At 41.0% G+C, this 17,811-nt stretch overlaps 1 annotated feature.

Moving 5' to 3' along the window:
* Positions 14,983 to 16,182: an enhancer, noted in NCBI's record as "CDK7 strongly-dependent group 2 enhancer chr7:117590690-117591889 (GRCh37/hg19 assembly coordinates)". NCBI's record gives its function as "activates an origin of replication core promoter dependent on BRD2, BRD4, P300/CBP, MED14 and CDK7 cofactors, with strong dependence on CDK7, by STARR-seq in HCT116 cells {active_cell/tissue: HCT116}" and the evidence as "EXISTENCE:reporter gene assay evidence [ECO:0000049][PMID:35650434]".

The following is a 17,811-nucleotide window of genomic DNA, read 5'->3' on the forward strand; positions in this document are numbered from 1 at the left end:
CAGTCTGGTCTCAAACTCCTGACCTCAGGTGATCCAGCCTCCTTGGCCTCCCAAAGTGCTGGGATTACAGGAGTGAGCCATTGCACCCAACTGAAGGACACTTTGTGTGTCAACTTGGCTATGCTGTAATACCCAGCTACTCAATCAAACATGAAACAAGGTGTTTTTGTGAAGGTATGTTGTAGATGTGATTGATATGTATAATCAGCTGATTTTAAGTAAAGCAGATTATCCTCAATAGTTGACATGGTCCTGATATAGTCAGTTGAAAGGCCTTAAGAGCAGAACCGAGGCTTCCCTGAGGAGGAAGAAATTCCACCTGTGGACCACAGCATCAGCCCATGCTCGATTTCCAGCCTCCCTTTCTGGTGGTCTGCCTTATAGATCTCAGTTACATTCTTTCCTTGCCATCACTTGCTCTTGGAGGCTCTTCCATAGCCCTCCAGCATCCTTCATGCCTCCCATTTAGTTTTAAGGGTTTCACTACAACTCAGAATAAGAAATGAACAGGGGATAACAAATGTAACTGACATATTTTACAAACATTCTCCTGAAGGCTGCAAAATCTCAACAACCGTGGCCCTTGACTTACAGGTCCTGGCTTTGTCCGAAACAAAGAGGAATCCTGTGAGGCTTCTATTGATTTGATAGGGGCTCATAAATGCCTCTTCTAAGAACCTTTCCCTTCTCTAGGGCCCTTTCTTACTAATTTGAAGTTGGACCCGAGGCAGAACAACGGATTCCTCTTTGTCTTGTGTGGCCAGTCCTCATTCCTGCAAGAGATGGCTCAGTCCCTATTACCTCACATTTTTAGCTGAAAGGAAAAATTATATGAATTTTAAATGATAACCAGTTTAATACTGCTAATAAGTAATATTTTTCTAGTTCAATAATATGAATATTCTTAAAAATATCAAGACTGAAAGCATGGCTGTTTACAATACCCAAGCTCATGATCCCTGATTGCGTTTCTAATGGTTCATTTCTTTAGGATGACTAAAAGGAACTTTTCCAAATGAATGCTGTTGATATTGTAAATACTAAGGCAGTAGGCTGATTAAAATGACCCTGGAGAGAATGGTCAAAATTTGCTTTATTCTCCATCTTTCTATCATGAAAGATAATTTTATGGCAAAGAACAGATATCAGGAAGACACTGGTAAAAAGAACATCCAGCCGGGTGTGGTGGCTCACGCCTGTAATTCCAGCACTTCGGGAGGCCGAGGCAGGTGGATCACCTGAGGTTAGGAGCTCAAGACCAGCCTGGCAAACATGGCAAAACCCCTGTCTCTACTAAAAATACAAAAAATTAGCCAGGTGTGGCGGCAGACGCCTGTAATCCCAGCTACTCAGGAGGCTGAAGGAGGAGAATCACTTGAATCTGGGAGGCAGAGGTTGCAGTGGGCGGAGATCCTGCCATTGCACTCCAGCCTGGGCAACGAGAATGAAACTTGGTCTCAAAAAAAAAAAAAAAAAAAAAAAAGAACATCCTACCTTTTCATGATATACTTACTATACAGATCTCAAAGCTTCTACAAACAAATTGAGTGTAGTACTTCAGACCAATGGGAATAAACATGTTCAGACTTGGTCTTTATTAATAGTCCCTACTGAAGCTCATGAGCACAAGAGTGCACAATAATCCAATGAACGCTGGGCCTCTGTAATACAGGCAAATCGAATAAGTCAGACAATGTCAATATTTCTGATTCAACTTTTCTGTGTAAACTATGAAAATGAGCCACCGTGTCCACGATGATTGTCCCAGATGTAATGAGTATCAGCTATATGGTCACAGACATAGTACATTGTGCTATGAAAGAGAAAAAGACACTGCATGCTTTAAAAAAAATGCAAGTTTCTATTTTTAAGTCTCATGACTGCCCCTAAATCGCTTGCCTCATTTCCTTCTAACAGCTGTCTTCAAGAAATTGGAGAATTGGAGAAAATATATGTCCAGGAAAAAATAAAGGCTAAGATCTTCAATTGCTCCTCTGGGAATTATATGCATGAGTTCCTTCATGTGGATCATTTATTCTCTAAGTTTTAAAGTTGTATACATTGTTCAAGTTCATGGAACATTCTAGGTAACTGGATTTTGCAGCTATGATAATGATGATAATCAATATTTCTTAAATTTAAAAAATGATTTGAGCAGATACTAATGCCTTATGAATATCTAAGTTTTATGGATCAGACATGTGCACAGAGCTCTTTGTTAATAATACACTAAAAATCAATTTGTTTAGTCATTCATCAGGTATTTATCCCTTACTAGCTTTCTGGCCTTGGGCAAATCACATAACCTCCATGGGTCTAAGTTTTTTCATTTATAAAATAAAGAGAATAATAAAATGTATAACTCAGGGGAATGTTTGGAATTTACTCACTTTGCAGAATGCCCAGTGCATTGTTGGTACTTTTAGTTTGTGTCACTGTTGTCACTGTGGTTGACAGTATAGTTCATCTCCATGTGCAGGTAATCTCAAGGCACAGGGCATGGAAAGAATAAATTACCCGTGGCCCCTTCTCTTGGGAGACTCCTTGTCTAATGGGAGAAAGGCATATAAGCAAATATTTGCACTTCATTGCTACATCTGCAAAAATCAAGGCCCAATGTATTGAGTGTCACGGCAATCCAGAGGAGAGAGTGTTGACTTTTCCTGGAATTATGAGGAAATGCTTGGAAGGACAACTGACTTTTGAGCTGAGCCTTGAGGGGTGGGAGGGAACCATCTAAGTCAAACTAGAAGTATAGGAAATCTTTGTGTGTAAGGACACATCATCTGAGAGATGTGAATGAAGATGGCTCATGTGTAGCATAACTAGTAATTCAGGAGGGCTGTGGCATAGAGAACATGTTAGGGTTGGTTGGAAACAAAATATATTATGACATTAGTTACTTAATTGCTTATTTGTTACCTGTCTCTTCCACTAGAATTTAAATTTCATCAGGGCAAGGACTTAGCTTATTTTATTTTCTTCCATATTCCCAGCAACTTCCAAAGTTCCTAAAGCATGGTATAATTATATATTATTGTTTGATAAAATTAATCAGTTATCTATTAATTACCCAATTTACTTGCCTCTAACAATGTTCTCATCCCTTTCTTATGTGCTTCTGTGTCACTTTGTTAATAACTTTCTAGTGATACTTTTGTGTGCTGGTCTCCTAACTCCCTTACAGATTAGAAGCTCTTTATGAAAAGTGACCAGCATCATGGCTACTGGCACATAGTATAGATGCATAAATGTTTGTTGAATGTAAATATTAAACTGTAAAATACTCCTATCAGATTATTTCCTAATTTGTTATAGAACACGAATATGGCAGATGCCAGAAAGAGAGCTGAGGAAAAGATGCAGAAGGCAAGCTAGCCCTCCCTCATGATGGAGCATCTGTGCTCTGTTCACTATCACCTGCTTACAGAGAAATGAAGTCTGCACATGCATGTGTTTTGTACCATATATACCACAGTGAAGCATGCAGACATCTTTCTTTAGATAGTAGTTGCTAGATATCTATGTCTTGCCTACATTAAACAAGTAACTCTAATGTTTTGCTCAAACAATTTTGATAGACCCAAACACATTTTGAAGGTCCAAATTCGCTACATTTTTGAGGGTAACTTTTCTTTTACATAAAGCAAACATATGACTCTAGAGGGACCAGGTGGAATGATTTAGAAGTAAAAACTAACATTTCATTCAATGGCCATCAACTCCCTTTACAGGGAGCTGTCCATGGAATTTTTCACATATTATCCTCCCTTCCCCTCCCTTGACTTGGTGGTTATAAAAATCTATGACCTCTGTCCTGTAGGATTTATAATGAGCTAGAAAACAGGCTTTTAATAAGAAAATTACGGCTAAGGCAGAATGTGATGGGTGACGGGTGAGTGGTACAAGGAATCAGCTGGGGTCATAAGCAAACGTGAGCCTAAACATTAGCTGCTGTAACATGATCAACTGCTCGCATTTTCTTTATGGTGAAATTAGCTCCAGGAAAGCTGGGATCCTATCAACTCTATGTACTATTGTATCCCAGTACTTCTTCTAATGCCTCATATAAAATAGGTGATATCAATAAATATTTGTGGGATGAAGGGCTGAATTCTTCCCTATGAAAAAGTTCCTCTCCTGCTGTCCTCCCAAAGCAGCTGTATACGAGAGTGTTTGAAATTGTTAGGCAATACAACAAATGCAAATAACTGTTCTTGCATGCCTAGAGTCACAGTGGGTGAAATGGCTCTGCTCCTGGCCCTGTTTGGTGCACCTTCTTGACCACTAAGTGTGCCACTGTCCTCACCAACGAGAGCTATCAGACCACTCCTGAAGGCAAATGCCCCTTGCAGCAGGTCTAGTTCCTACAGGAGGCAGATAATATCACAGCAAGGTGCATGTGTACAAAATAGCATACTGTGTACAAAATAGCGTACGCCACAGACATTATAATGACCTCTAAGACTTGCTTTTGTTGTTTTTCAATCTTTTGTATTTCTTGTACACATTTCTTAGTAAGAAAACCATAGAGAAGGAAATGTACACCTGCAGATGTACACTCAACTTCTGAGGTAGACAGGCAGGGCCAACCTACGGTATTGCTCTGTGTACTAGCTGTGAGTAGGGTCGGCAGCTTCACAAGAAACATAAGTCCAGAAGTGACAAGAAATCCACAGGCAGACTCTCATCAATCCATCCTCTTGGCTTAAAGTTGAAAGCCAACACCTGTCAAAGAGTTAGTTGTTATGCATTATCAATCACATTTGTATGCATGAAGGCATCTGCTCCTCTCCTGCCAGAGCCTAATGTAGTGAAAAGCAGAAGGTTTACTGAGTGCTGGAAAAGGGAAAGAGGGCGACTGGAGGGGAGAAGGATCACAGAAAGACAATCTCAGGAGCACTAGGAGATAAAAGCTATTAAAAGATAAAATTATGTTAATTCCAGTTATTGTGCCACTACATATATAAAATCATGGTCAATTACAAACTTATTTTCAACATGATAAGAAAAACCTGCATGTTGAACACATCTTTTTATATTTCTAAAAACAGAGGAGGAATGTAAGTCACATCATAAACGTGAATAGCTAAATTTTTTCAACACAATTCCTTGATTGGTCAAAATCCCTTCCTGCTCTGTAGTGAGGACTCCAGATTGACTTTTTGATAAATTATTCTCCTGTTTTTGTGGAGTGCACATTGTAGAAAAGACTGTTGGTGGCTGCTTAGATGACCAAAACATTAATTGTTCTTCCAAGTACCTGTGGCAGAGTCTTCATGTTGGAGAATGGGGGTTTCACCAAGTATCCTGGTGTACAAGAAAATGATACAATTCCCATCAGAGGTCCTCTTTCCATTAAGGAGAGGAAATGAAACAATCTGATTCCTGAAGATATGCCTGAATAAGTCCTTTTATCCAATATTCCTCTGTGCCCCTTGAAAGATACTCAGTCTTTGCCAAGTTGAGGTCTTGTGGGGTTTACAAGGCTCTTTGGAGCTGCGTCAAGAATACGTTGGAAAAATATTTTATCTTCCAGTTGACTGCATGTGAGTATGCAGAGTCAGAATCCTGAAAATTTAGCACTTTGGGGGAATGAGAGAGGGTTGGAATGTTTCAGGAGGTACTGATTATGACCATGAGTATCAGGATGATTACGACCAATTGCATCAGCTGGTCATCTAAGATGAAAACAACAGAACCCTATCATATTGGTTTACACAGTAAAGGAATTTATTAAAGGATATTAGGCAACTCACAGATTCTCTGAGAGGCCTAGAGAATGGGCCTTGGAAGCTCTGGAACCAGGAACAATGACTAAACCACACACTGAGGTTAATCCAACAGAGATCTTGCTGCTGCTGCTACTTAGCACAGATACACAACTTGCCTCACTGCTACTTGGCATTTGATTCCAGAACTTTCATCTCTGCTATCTTGGTTAGCCACCTGTCTCTGTGGTCATTCATTCCAGACAATGAATTACTCTTGGTACATGCTTCGCAGGTTGGTTCCTTTCTATATAGAAGTTTCACAATGGCTTATCTGACTGTTTGCACACAAGCTGCAAGAAAGGCTAAAAAAGAGTTTCTGACTTCTAACCCCAGAGAGGTGAAACATGATAAGGGATAGACTCCAAGCAATGGGAGGAGAATTCAAAAGATGCGAGCCACATCCATGACAAAAGGCCATAGCAAATAAAATGCTCTTACTTGCCTTTCCCCCTCAGCTAATACAGAATTTCAGTCCACAGCAAAGATACCTTTAATATTTTGGGTGATTTCTAGATGAGTCTTTTCCATGTTCTTAAACAAATCTAGATATAATCACATGGGTGTAAATTTGGACAGAGTGTTTCTCAATTCTTCTGGTGCTATAGTCTGTTAAGGGAGTGTCAACATGGTCTTGATTACTCCATAAAGTCTCATAGAATTTTTGGGAAAACATATCTTTCAGTTTTTAATTACAGTTAGGTCTGTGTTTTTATTATTGGCTTCATATATAAATCCCATCAGGGCCTGGCTTTGTGCAAAATCTAAATGACTTTATACTTCACTTATAAAATAGCACTCTCCCTTCCCCCGTTACCATTAAACTTTATTACTGGATCGATCTGCTTCCCTTTTCTCTTGAGATGTCTTTTCTACCAAAAGATACCTCAGTTCCTCCTGTACATAGACTTTTGGATGGCCTACCCCCAAACAGGTCAAATTCATGAGCATATTTCTGAATTCCTCCTTAGACATTAGTATGCTTTCTCAGTTTTTATAAATGTAAAAGTCCTTATTTCACCTTCATTTTTAAAAGAATTTTTTGCTATGTATAAAACTCTAGATTGATAGTTTATCTCTTTCAATAATTTAAAGATATCATTCCATTTTCTTCAGGCTTACAATGTTTCTGCTGAGAGGTCTGCTGTCATTTTTATCTTTGCTCCTCTATATATATTGTATCTGTTTTACTTTGGGAACTTTAAATATTTTCTTTCATTAGTAGTTTTTAGCAATTTGAGTATGATGTACAGTTACGCTATTTTCTTTAAACTTCTCATGAACTTCTTTCAAAACATTTATACGAAATTAAGGCATTTTTAGACACGTGAAAGCTGAGATAATCTACTACCAAATAGGCCTGTATTAAGTTGCACAATGACAAATGTTTAACAAGTAGCTTTCCAGGAAAATAAACCTAGATTTGTAGCATTTTGTGATTTCTATGCTGTAAATATTCCTTCAGTGGCTAATTTTATGCTAACAACCTGTCATTTCTGAAGACAGAGTATGGAAGAGACACACACAATGTTCCTGCAAACCTCCGTGAGCTGGCTCCAGCACAGTGCTGCTGGCAGCATGAGAAACATGAAAGGAAGCCCTTCAGGTAGAAGAAAAATGATACCAGAAGAAAATTTGGATCTACATAAAGAAAGAAAAAGCACTAGAAATTGAAAATATGTAGGCAAATATAAAATACTTTTTCTACTTAAGATGTTTTACTTTAAAAGATAATTGACTTTCTAAAGTGGAAATAATAACAATGTGTACTGTAAACCCTAGACAACCACTAAAAAGCAATGACAATAACAACAGCAGCAGCAAAGAGGTACAGATAATAAAACAATAATAGAAAGAAATAGACAGAAAATAGAACTGGTAAATGAATTAACTAATTTCATTACCCCCTAAAAAGGCAGGAACAGAAGAAAAAATGAAATGTTTAGTGCAAGTAGAACATTTAAGCCCAACCATATTATTATTGCATAAAATGCAAATAGTCTAGCCACTCCAAATATAAGGTAGAGATTGTCAGAGTGCATTAAAAGAAGGACCCAACTATATGCTGCTTTAAAGAAACACACTTTGCATATAAAATCTTAATATTTGAAAGAACATTATAATCAATTTTTTCAGATTAACAGATGGTTACTCAATGCACGTAGTCCCTAATTTTTTTTTTTTTTTTTTTTTGATATGGAGTCTTTCTCTGTCACCCTGGCTGGATTTCAGTGGTGCAATCTTGGCTTACTGCACCTCCATCTCCTGGGTTCAAGCCATTCTTGTACCTCAGCCTCCCGAGTAGCTGGGACTACAGGCGTGCACCACCAGGCTTGGCTAATTTTTTTTGCATTTTTAGTAGAGACAGGGTTTTGCCATGTTCCCCAGGCTGGTCTCAAACTCCTGAGCTCAGGCAGTTTGCCTGCCTCGGCCTCCCAAAGTGCTAGGATTATAGGCGTGAGCCACCACGCCTGGCCTGTCCCTAAATTTAACAAAAGATTACGTTCTAAGCAGAATGAAGTAAATTTATAAAAGGAGTTTTGGATTCAGAATCAGAACATCTGGGTAGGGAGTCCCAATTCTACATCTTACTAGATGTGTGGTTTTTGCTAAACCATACCTTGCTGGGGCTCAGTTTCTTTCTCTCTAAAATAGTGGGGTTTTTAGGGAGGTGAGGGAAATCATTTATCAGAATTACTCAATGAACTTCTAAAACACTTGTGAGACCACCCCACAACGCTCCCAGACTCTAATATCTTCTCAGATTGAGCCAGGAGGGTCTCGGTAGCCTGTTTACATGTTGAAAAAGCTCCCTAGTGAGTACAGTGAACAGCTCCGCCCCCTCAGGCTACCTGAGAGTTGAAGACACTGAACCTTATCATTTCTATGGTCCCTTCCACTTAAAATATTTTATGATTCTCTGATTTGAGCAGAATTAATATTTAGGTGTTCTTCAAATTACCTGAAGTTTGCAGCCACCTACTTGGCCAGCACTGATAGGCCCCAGGCTCGGCTCCTTGGCATCTTGCCATTTCCTTTCAGTTGATGGATTACAAATGGCATTTGTAACTCTGTTGATTTGCCTAGAGATATTTCATTTCAGAGTGAATGCATAGATCAAATAAAGGATACACTGTAGAAGCACATATGTAGTTGTCTATGCAATTCAGTTCACCACAGCAGAACTGCTTAGTGACTGTTCAATGCTGCCTAAGTCTAGGGTGGCTGGCGTTGATCTATCTGAAGAATCAATGAAGTCTGTGCAACTGAAAAGAGAGCACTAAATTAGCTTTACTGGTTCACAAAACTGGAAAGTAGGTCAGTGCCCAACATTCCAGTAATTGCTACTAGTGCTATGGCAGGCTCAGTGGCAGATACTGAGGAGCAGGACAGCCATCTAGAGCCCTCGAGTCAGGAGGAATAAGGCCCTGAGTTTCCAATTTGAGCTAGCCCAGACTAGCCCTCTAGGTCCACACTGGACCTCCCCTTTCAGCCTTCATCCAGGGCTATAGGAAATAATTTTCTATCATAGCATATGGTTTGTTTTAGTTTTAATATGTCAGAGATGTTTCCTTTAATTATTTTCCCATTACTTTTGCTATTTTTCAAAGACTTTTCTCCATTCCTCCCCTGAGAGTGCTCGAGGACTCTGTGTTATTTTATTTCTAACATGCTGCATTTCAAAAGACTTGTAGAATTAAATCTTGTCAGAAAAAGAGGGGGCTAATTAAGCAAGAGTGGGTCATGTTCTCATTTCCTGTCCTTAGTCAGAATGAAGGTCTTTTTAATTGTAGGGCTCAAGTTAAGGGACTAAAATTTTTATTCTAATAATTGTGAGCATCACCCTCTCATACACAGGTCAAAAGAGAGACCTGTGAAAGCCCCACTGAGGGAAGCCATTGATGATTTCAGAGGGAAGAAGACGGAAAGAGTAGATTGGCAAGTGGCCATAGGCAGGAGTATGCAGCTATGGTTTAGCTATCCTGTGGCAGCCATGTATATTGTTGCAGTCTTTGGTAGAGATCTCGACCTATATTTAATCAGGACGAGACCTTGTTGAAATCAAGAAGTACGTGAAATCTTTTCCCCTGACTTCACATTTCACTTTCCCCTTTCATTGCCTTGATTCCCAGTATCTCTCCTTCCATTCTTTTCTCTTCCTCACAGAGAAGATGCCTGTCTCATTCTCAGGGATCTGTCTACCAGCCTAACTCTACAAGGCCTCATTCTGAGATTTAAGTGCAATGGTGCTTGGACTTGGGCAACACTATGGCCTTGTTGCTTTCACTGAGAGATCACAAGAAAGAAGAACCTCAGTGTCCAGTGGTAGAGCATTACGAAATTTGGCAGGGGACAAGAGAGACATTTGAATTAGTAGCTTCCTGCTATTCTAGTATCAACACATTTGTAAGGGACTGTGCACCATAAGGTCCTGACAACGATTCTTGGAGCATGGCATCACTGCTTCATCATTCGGTACCTTTGCTAGAGAATATGAGGGGGAGATGAGAATTTGTTAGTAGGGATCTTGTGATTGTGCATAGTGCTGTGACATACATTATATTCTTTCAGACTTGATGTTATTTGGGGGCTGGAAAGATCAGGCATTATTATGCCCACTATATTAAGTTAGAAACTAAATCTGAGAGACCAAGCCATGTTCCTAATATCCACGAATAGTTGAGCTCCACTAGAAATCAAGTGTCTTAGCCCAAATCCATCTTGCATTAAGTCTGTGTGTGTGTGTTTGTGTGGTGGGGGGGGGTGTTAATTCTATACATTCCATTTTCGTAGAGAGTTCCATTTTGGCACACATTCATTTAAGGCTGTGAAATAGAAGCCAAAACAAACATATGCAACTCTTTGTTATTTTAGCCCAAGTCTTCTAGAAAACAGAGCCTGAGGCAAAACCTCACATGCTAATGCTTTAATGGGGGTGCAACCCCAGGAAATTAAGAGTAAAGGAAAGAAGGAGTGAGGCAGGGAAGGAAGGAAAGCTTAGTGGATTCTGTGATTCACCATTCAGGCCTCACCTTGGGAGTAATGGGATCACTCACTCAGCTACAGGAACTGCTGCTGGGAGACAAGCTGTTAGCCCTTTTCAGGAATTGCTTTGGCTGAAGAGAGATGCCTCATGCTGGTAACATGCACTTTCCAGAGCAGCCTCAACCAATGACTTGTCGAAACAGCAGCATACAGTCCTGGTCCCCTTGCCTGAATTCAAGACAACTTTTAAGGACTAGCCGCATTCCAGAGGTCCCGTGTAGTCAGCTGAGGCCTTTGTTATAGCTCATCACGGCCCAACTTCTCCTCTTGCCTGCCTTTGCTTTCATTCCTTCTCAAGATTGCTTCTTAATAAACTTCTTGCACCTTAATCTGTCTCAGTCTGCTTCCTAAGGCACTCAACTTACAAAAATATACACTTACATTCAGTACCAGGATTGTGTTAACTCCTATGCCCTCATAATATAGTCCAGAGAGATCTGGATCATCTGAACATTCTCTAGAGCATTGTACTGGTTCAGTATACTGAGGACATCATTCCAATACGACCAGAAAAACAAAAAGCTCAAATATTTTGGAGGCTTTGGCCCTACCAGATGGGAGGTAATCCCTACACAGATTTCAAGGACCTATTACATCAGTAGCATTTTTAGGATCCAGGGGTCTAAAATATTGCCTTCAAATAAAGGAGAAATTATTGTATCTTTCATCTCCCACTACAAAGAAAGAATTGTTATGTTTGACAGGCCTGCTCAGAGTCTGAGCCAGCATATCCTACACCTGGGCATACTACTCTGACCTGTATTCCAGGGGACCTGAGAGGCTGCCAGAGCTGAGTGGGCCCCAGAGTAGGAACGGGCTCTTCAGATGATATAGGCAAGTGGCCTGCTATGAGGGTCATGCAAGTTAGCAGACCCTATTGTCTTAACGTCATTAATCATGGGAAAGGGGCCACAATTGATGATTCCTTTCATGACAAGACCCAACGGAAATGGCAATGCAGATTCCTAATGCCATGTCATGTGCAGAGAACAGTTAAACACTTATCCAGAAACAGCTCCTGTCATACTATGGGGTAGAGTTGGAACACCCAATCATGGAACATTAACTTATCCTATGGCTAGAATTGTCATTATGAGCTGAACCCTGTCAAACCTACTAAGGTTCAGGAAGGTCCCACAGCAATCTATCTTAACACAAAAATGATACATCCTGAATTGAGCCCAAGCGAGACCAGAGTGTATAAGCAAGCTGTACAGCAGGTGGCTCAGAACCCCCATGTCACCTATCAATGTGTTCCAGTGCCTCTCCCCAAGTTCACTCTTTTTTTTTTTTTTTTTTTTGAGATGATGTCTCGCACTGTCACCCAGGCTGGAGTGCAGTGGCACAAACTCAGCTCACTGCGACCTCCAACTCCCAGGTTCAAGCGATTCTCCTGCCTCAGCCTTCTGAGTAGCTGGGATTACAGGTGCCTGCCACCACGCCCAGCTAATTTTTTGTATTTTTAGTAGAGATGGGGTTTCACCATGTTGGTCAGGCTGGTCTTGAACTCATGACCTCGTGATTCACCCACCTCGGCCTCCCAAAGTGCTGAGATTACAGGCATGAGCCACCGCGCCCGGCCCCCGAGTTCACTCTCACAGCTGTAGGGGGCATCTCATGCTCAGCTGATAGAAGAGGTTCAAAGATGGAATGGCTCAGCATGTAGGTGTAAGTCAGAAGCGGATTGTAGTTGCTTTATAGCCTGACTTGGGTGTGGCCAATGGGCCGCACTTTGGTGCAACAGGTTATTAACTTTATAAGCAAAGAGAACTGTCGCAAGGGCACAAGACACACAGGCAGTGGAAAATGTTTTGGCCAGCTGAAAGGGGTCTGTAAAGAGAAAGATTGTAAGGTTGGAAACAAGGAGGCATGTGGATGAATATATGGGAGTGAGCACATTGTGTGAAGACTTTTCTATCACATGCAATATCTACTGGAAAGTACCCATCACTGAAGAGGCACTTCACAGCCAGGTAGCCAAAAACAATTCAGACAGTTGACACCAACTAGCCACTGTCATTGGCCATGTAACACTGGCAAAAGGAGGACAGGAGTGGAGTTGCCATGGTAGCAGGGCCTAACAACATGGATCCAATAGCATCCACTTCTGCTTACCTTGGCCAATCTATTATTGCCATTGCCAAATGTTCCAGCAACAGAGAACAACTCTACATCTTTACGTAGCATCATCACTAAATAAACCACTTGTTGACAAGTTGACTACATTATGCTCCTTCAGTCTGGATGGGCTGGCGATTCATTTTGACAAGAGTAGACATATATTCCTGGTATGGGTTTCTTTTTCCTGCTCACTGGACCTATCCAAGGTCTTACAAAGTGTTTGATCCACCAGCATAAGTTTCCAGAGAACACTGCATCAGACCAAGAGCCCTACTTCACAGCAAAAAAGGTGTGAGGGTGAGGCCATATCACATACTTTACCACCTAGAAGGTGCTGGCCTGGAAGAGCAATGGCCCCTCCTGCTGAAGGCACAGCTGAGAGGATTACCCTGCTGAAGCACCAGCTCAGAGGACAGACGACCATACTCCAGGATGCAGCGCACACTCTGAATCAGCAAGTATAATAGGAGATTGTGTTCTCAACAGGTAGAATGCATGGGCAAGGACTGAGGGGTGGAAGCAGGAGTGGCTTGTTTACCACCGCTCCCCAGCACCCATTTGAGGAGTTTGTGCTTCCCATCCCGACAACTCTGAGCTCTGTGTGTCTAGGGGTCCCGGTTCCAAAGGAGGAACCCTTCCACCAGAGGACACATCAAGAGTCACACTGAACTCTAACTGCTACTGCCACCTGGGCACTGTGAAGTAATCATCTTGTCAGGGTTAACTGAAACTGAAGTTAGGCTAATGCTTCACAACGAGGGCAGGAAGAAATATGTTTGTTCTTACATGAGTCAGTTGAGTGTCTCTTTAGACAGCAACCATGGTCTGCAAAGTGCACAGTGCTCAAGGAGCTCAGATTTCTAAAGGATGCAGGACTGAGTCATGCCACTGGGTGAGCCACTGAGACCAGCAGAGATGCTAGCTGAAGGTGAAGGAGATCAAGAATGGACAATGTGAAGGGAGATGGTGAGTATAAATTGAGTTGCAGCAGCAGTGGAGCTGTAGTTCACTCTATTAACTTTCTCTTTTTAAATTTCCTCCAGAAAAAGAAGTGCACCAGTGTCCTGAAGGAGTGACTCCCAGAATTTATACAAAGAATTAGATCTGAACTGTACAGGGGTACATTGGAGTAGATGTTGTGATGTGCCCTCCACCTCCCCCTTCAGGAATGATGCAGACTTATTCCCTTACCTGCTGGGATTATTATCAGAAAACAGCCTTGGATGTCACCTTTGTTCGGCATTTGCCCTTGTCAATGTCATGCTCCCTTCTAAGGAGAGCCTACATCCAATGACTGGTTGATGAAGGAGTAAAAAGTATCCAGCCTCTGTGCCCCAACCTGGCATCATTCTGGAGGACCGTCAAAGCTGCAAAGATCCCTGTGGGTGTGGCTGATGTGTCACTTGAGAGTGTATCACAACCCAGCTAATTTCTCTGCTTACACTGCTTCTTTCCTTAGAGGTTGAAGGTCTTACAGTGAAAGTAAGAGGATTATGAACTCGGCTCAGGACAACTCTTTCATAAAAGGAATTATTAATGTGTTTTAATGCCAGATACCTTCAAAAGGGTTTTTGTCACATTTAAAATTATCGTGGGAAAATTTTTATACATTAACCTGGTGTCTTTACGGTATTAATTTTTTTTTTTCTTTTGGAGACAGAATCTTGCTCTGTTGCCCAGGCTGGAGTGCAGACTGCAGTGGTGCCATCTCAACTTACTGCAACCCCCACCTCCCGGGTTCAAGCAATTCTTGTGCCTCAGCCTCCCGAGTAGCTGGGATTACAGGCACAGGCCACCATGCCCAGCTAATTTTTTGTATTTTAGTAGAGACAGGGTTTCACCATGTTGCCCAGGCTGGTATCGAACTTCTGAGCTCAGGCAATCCACCTGCCTTAGCTTCCCAAAGTGCTAGGGTATTAAATAGGGAAATGACACTAAAAGAATAATGCATTGTTATATCATCAGGAGTTCAATCTGAAGGGGGCAAAGGATGCATAAGTAAGTTATTGTAACGTTACCATCACTCCCCAGTGGCTGGCATGGTAGGGCTGGAAGAATGGGAATATGTTTCCAAGGTCCAGAAGGAAGAAAAGGGCACTATGGGCAGTGGGAATAGCACAGGCCAAGCACAGAGGCGGAAACATGCAGCAGGTTACAGGGTGTGGCTGGAACGCGGAGTGCTGAAAGGCTGCAGATGAGCTTCAGGCTGGAGATGAAGAATAAATGAGTCAATCAAATAGGCCCACAATGCCAGCTGCAACTGAAATTCAGTCCAAAGTAAAGCAGTGCTGTTTGGAACTAGCAATTTCAGCCACAACTATCTTACAGACTTGCAAATTAGCTAAAAGCTGACTAAGGTGCTTTGGATTGAGCCAAGTATTTTTAGCGACCTTTATCAATAAGCAAGCACATTGTTAACCAAGACTGGGAAGTAGGAAGTATGTGTAGTTTATGACTTTAACTGATACCTGAATAGCATCTGTGGTTACAGGCATGGACTCTGGAGCAGGCTGCATCGGGTCAAATCTTGGTCCCCAGATGTACTTCCTGTGTGACTAAGGATACTTCTTTAACTTATTTGCACACTACTGTTAATCTCTAAAATGAGGATAACATATACCTATCTCAGGGTTGTTGTGAGAACTAAGTAAGTTACTATATGTGAAGTACTTAGAACTATGCTTGATACATATTAAGCATGAGAGAAAAAGAGAAGAGATGGGAGATGGAAGGAATGGAAATGCCAATGAGTTAGCAAGGAGAAAAATTATTCCCTGTGAGTGATCAGACAGTCATAACTAAAGGTATCGTTTCATCCTTTTTCCAAGGAATACCTGAGCTATGACTATGCTAAACAATTGTTCTTACATGATTCACTTGAGTGTCTCTTTAGACAGCAACCACGATCTGCAAAGGGTACAGTGCTCAGGGGGCTCAGATTTCTAAAACATGCGGGACCGAGTCATGCCACTGGGTGAGCCACTGAGACCAGCAGAGATGCTAGCTGAAGGTGAAGGAGATCTAGAATGGACAACGTGAAGGGAGATGATGAGTGTAAATTGAGTAGCAGCAGCAGTGGAGCTGTAGTTCACCCTATTAACTTTCTCTTTTTAAATTTCCTCTGGAAAAAGAAGTGCACCAGTGTCCTGAAGGAGTGACTCCCGGAATTTATGCAAAGAATTAGATCTCAAGTGTACAATAACTGAATTGTACAATACTATCAAGTGTACAATAACTAAATTGTACAATAGTATCCAAGCTCCCCATGGGCAGTGCAACCGGCCAGTGTACATCAATTAATCTCACCACCAGAGGCAAATGTGTCAGAATGCTCACTGTGACTTGCTCCAACCCACTGAAGCAACTGCACTTCCTATGTTTGAATTGGGTCATATTTCAGTGCGTCTGTGACCCACTACCTATTTGTGTTTCTATTCTTGGATATTTTAAAGGTTTGTCTTGAGGGGTGGATGGGGGAGACCATGTAGGCCTGTAGTGGAGTTTTTTGTTTTGTTGGGTTTTGTTTTGTTTTTTAGAGCCTGAAGACCAGGAGCAGAATGCCCTCATTTTACACAGAGAGACACTGAGGAAGGAGGACTTTGGTACCTCTGAGCCAGGCAGTGGCGAAGAAATTTAGAAATATGTCTCTCCTGGATGTTTTTGCTTGTATATGTGTCAGCATTTTACTGACTCAAACATAAAATTGAGCTTTTATTTACTTGGGGCAAGCCATTATTCTATAATATTTGATGTGTCTAACTCATTTAAAATGAAAGGGAAATGGAAACAGTACTTTAAAATGAAAATAGGGTTTCATTGTTCTTAGCTTCAGTATTCTTTAACTGCTTCGCCTCTGGAGTCAGTGTGAGGTTCTTAATCAGGGTTTGATTCCAGAAGCAGCTAATTATTAATCTGGGCTTGTACAAGCTACTAAACCTCTTAATTAATAGGTAAAATGATATCTACCTCCTAGGATTTTGTGAAGATTAATAAGTTAATTAGAGGACATAACGAATGTGAAATCCATTGAACATAACAGGTATTCAGTAAATGTAAGTCTCCACTCATGCCTGTCCTGTCCTAAGAGATAGAGTTTTAATGAGGACACCACTTAATTTTAACACAAATACAATCACTTCTTTCATAATCATTTCCTCCTAAATCAAAAGCTGACACAGAACTCATTTTCTGTCTCTGGATCTGCTTCCTAATTTGTAAAATGAGGTGGTTAGATTGTTTCCCTTCCGATGTCTTCAAAATCTGGATTTCTACGGCTTTTTCCTAGCTTTCCATTGGCCTGGGAAAATCATGTATCCCAGTCATCAAATTCTCCTGTTTGCTGAGAGAAAGAATAAGTTTAAATGCTTTGGGGTGAATAGAAGGAAAATGTCTCGCATTTTTCCTCTATGAAAGCATCTTTTTCCATTTTTGCTAGCTGCAAAGCACTATACAAGTATACAATTTTTGTCACTCTTACTATGATTCTTCTTACCACTCTCACTATTCTGTTTTCTCCATCTCCCACAATTGGATAGGAGATGCAAGTACTTCATGTTAGGATAAATATGTAATTAGGTCTATATATAACTCTATATATAAATATATAATTGTTCAGAAAGAACAGTATATGCATAGGCACACTCTTACTCATTGTACTAATCATAGCTTAGGTTTCATTCTACATCTATTCAGGCCTGTCTATTCAGTCACTTGCTATTCTTTCTGACTGGAGTGACAATATCAATCATGCTATTCCTATGGTCAGAAATTCTGGCTGCTGTTGCTACCACCATTTAGGAGTCCCCTTGTGAATTCCTGCCTGACAAGAACTCTCTGTACCTATGTACTGGGCTGACTGAACAAGAGAAGGATC

This window comes from Homo sapiens, chromosome 7 (genome assembly GCF_000001405.40).
Source record: "Homo sapiens chromosome 7, GRCh38.p14 Primary Assembly".
Taxonomy (NCBI): domain Eukaryota; kingdom Metazoa; phylum Chordata; class Mammalia; order Primates; family Hominidae; genus Homo; species Homo sapiens.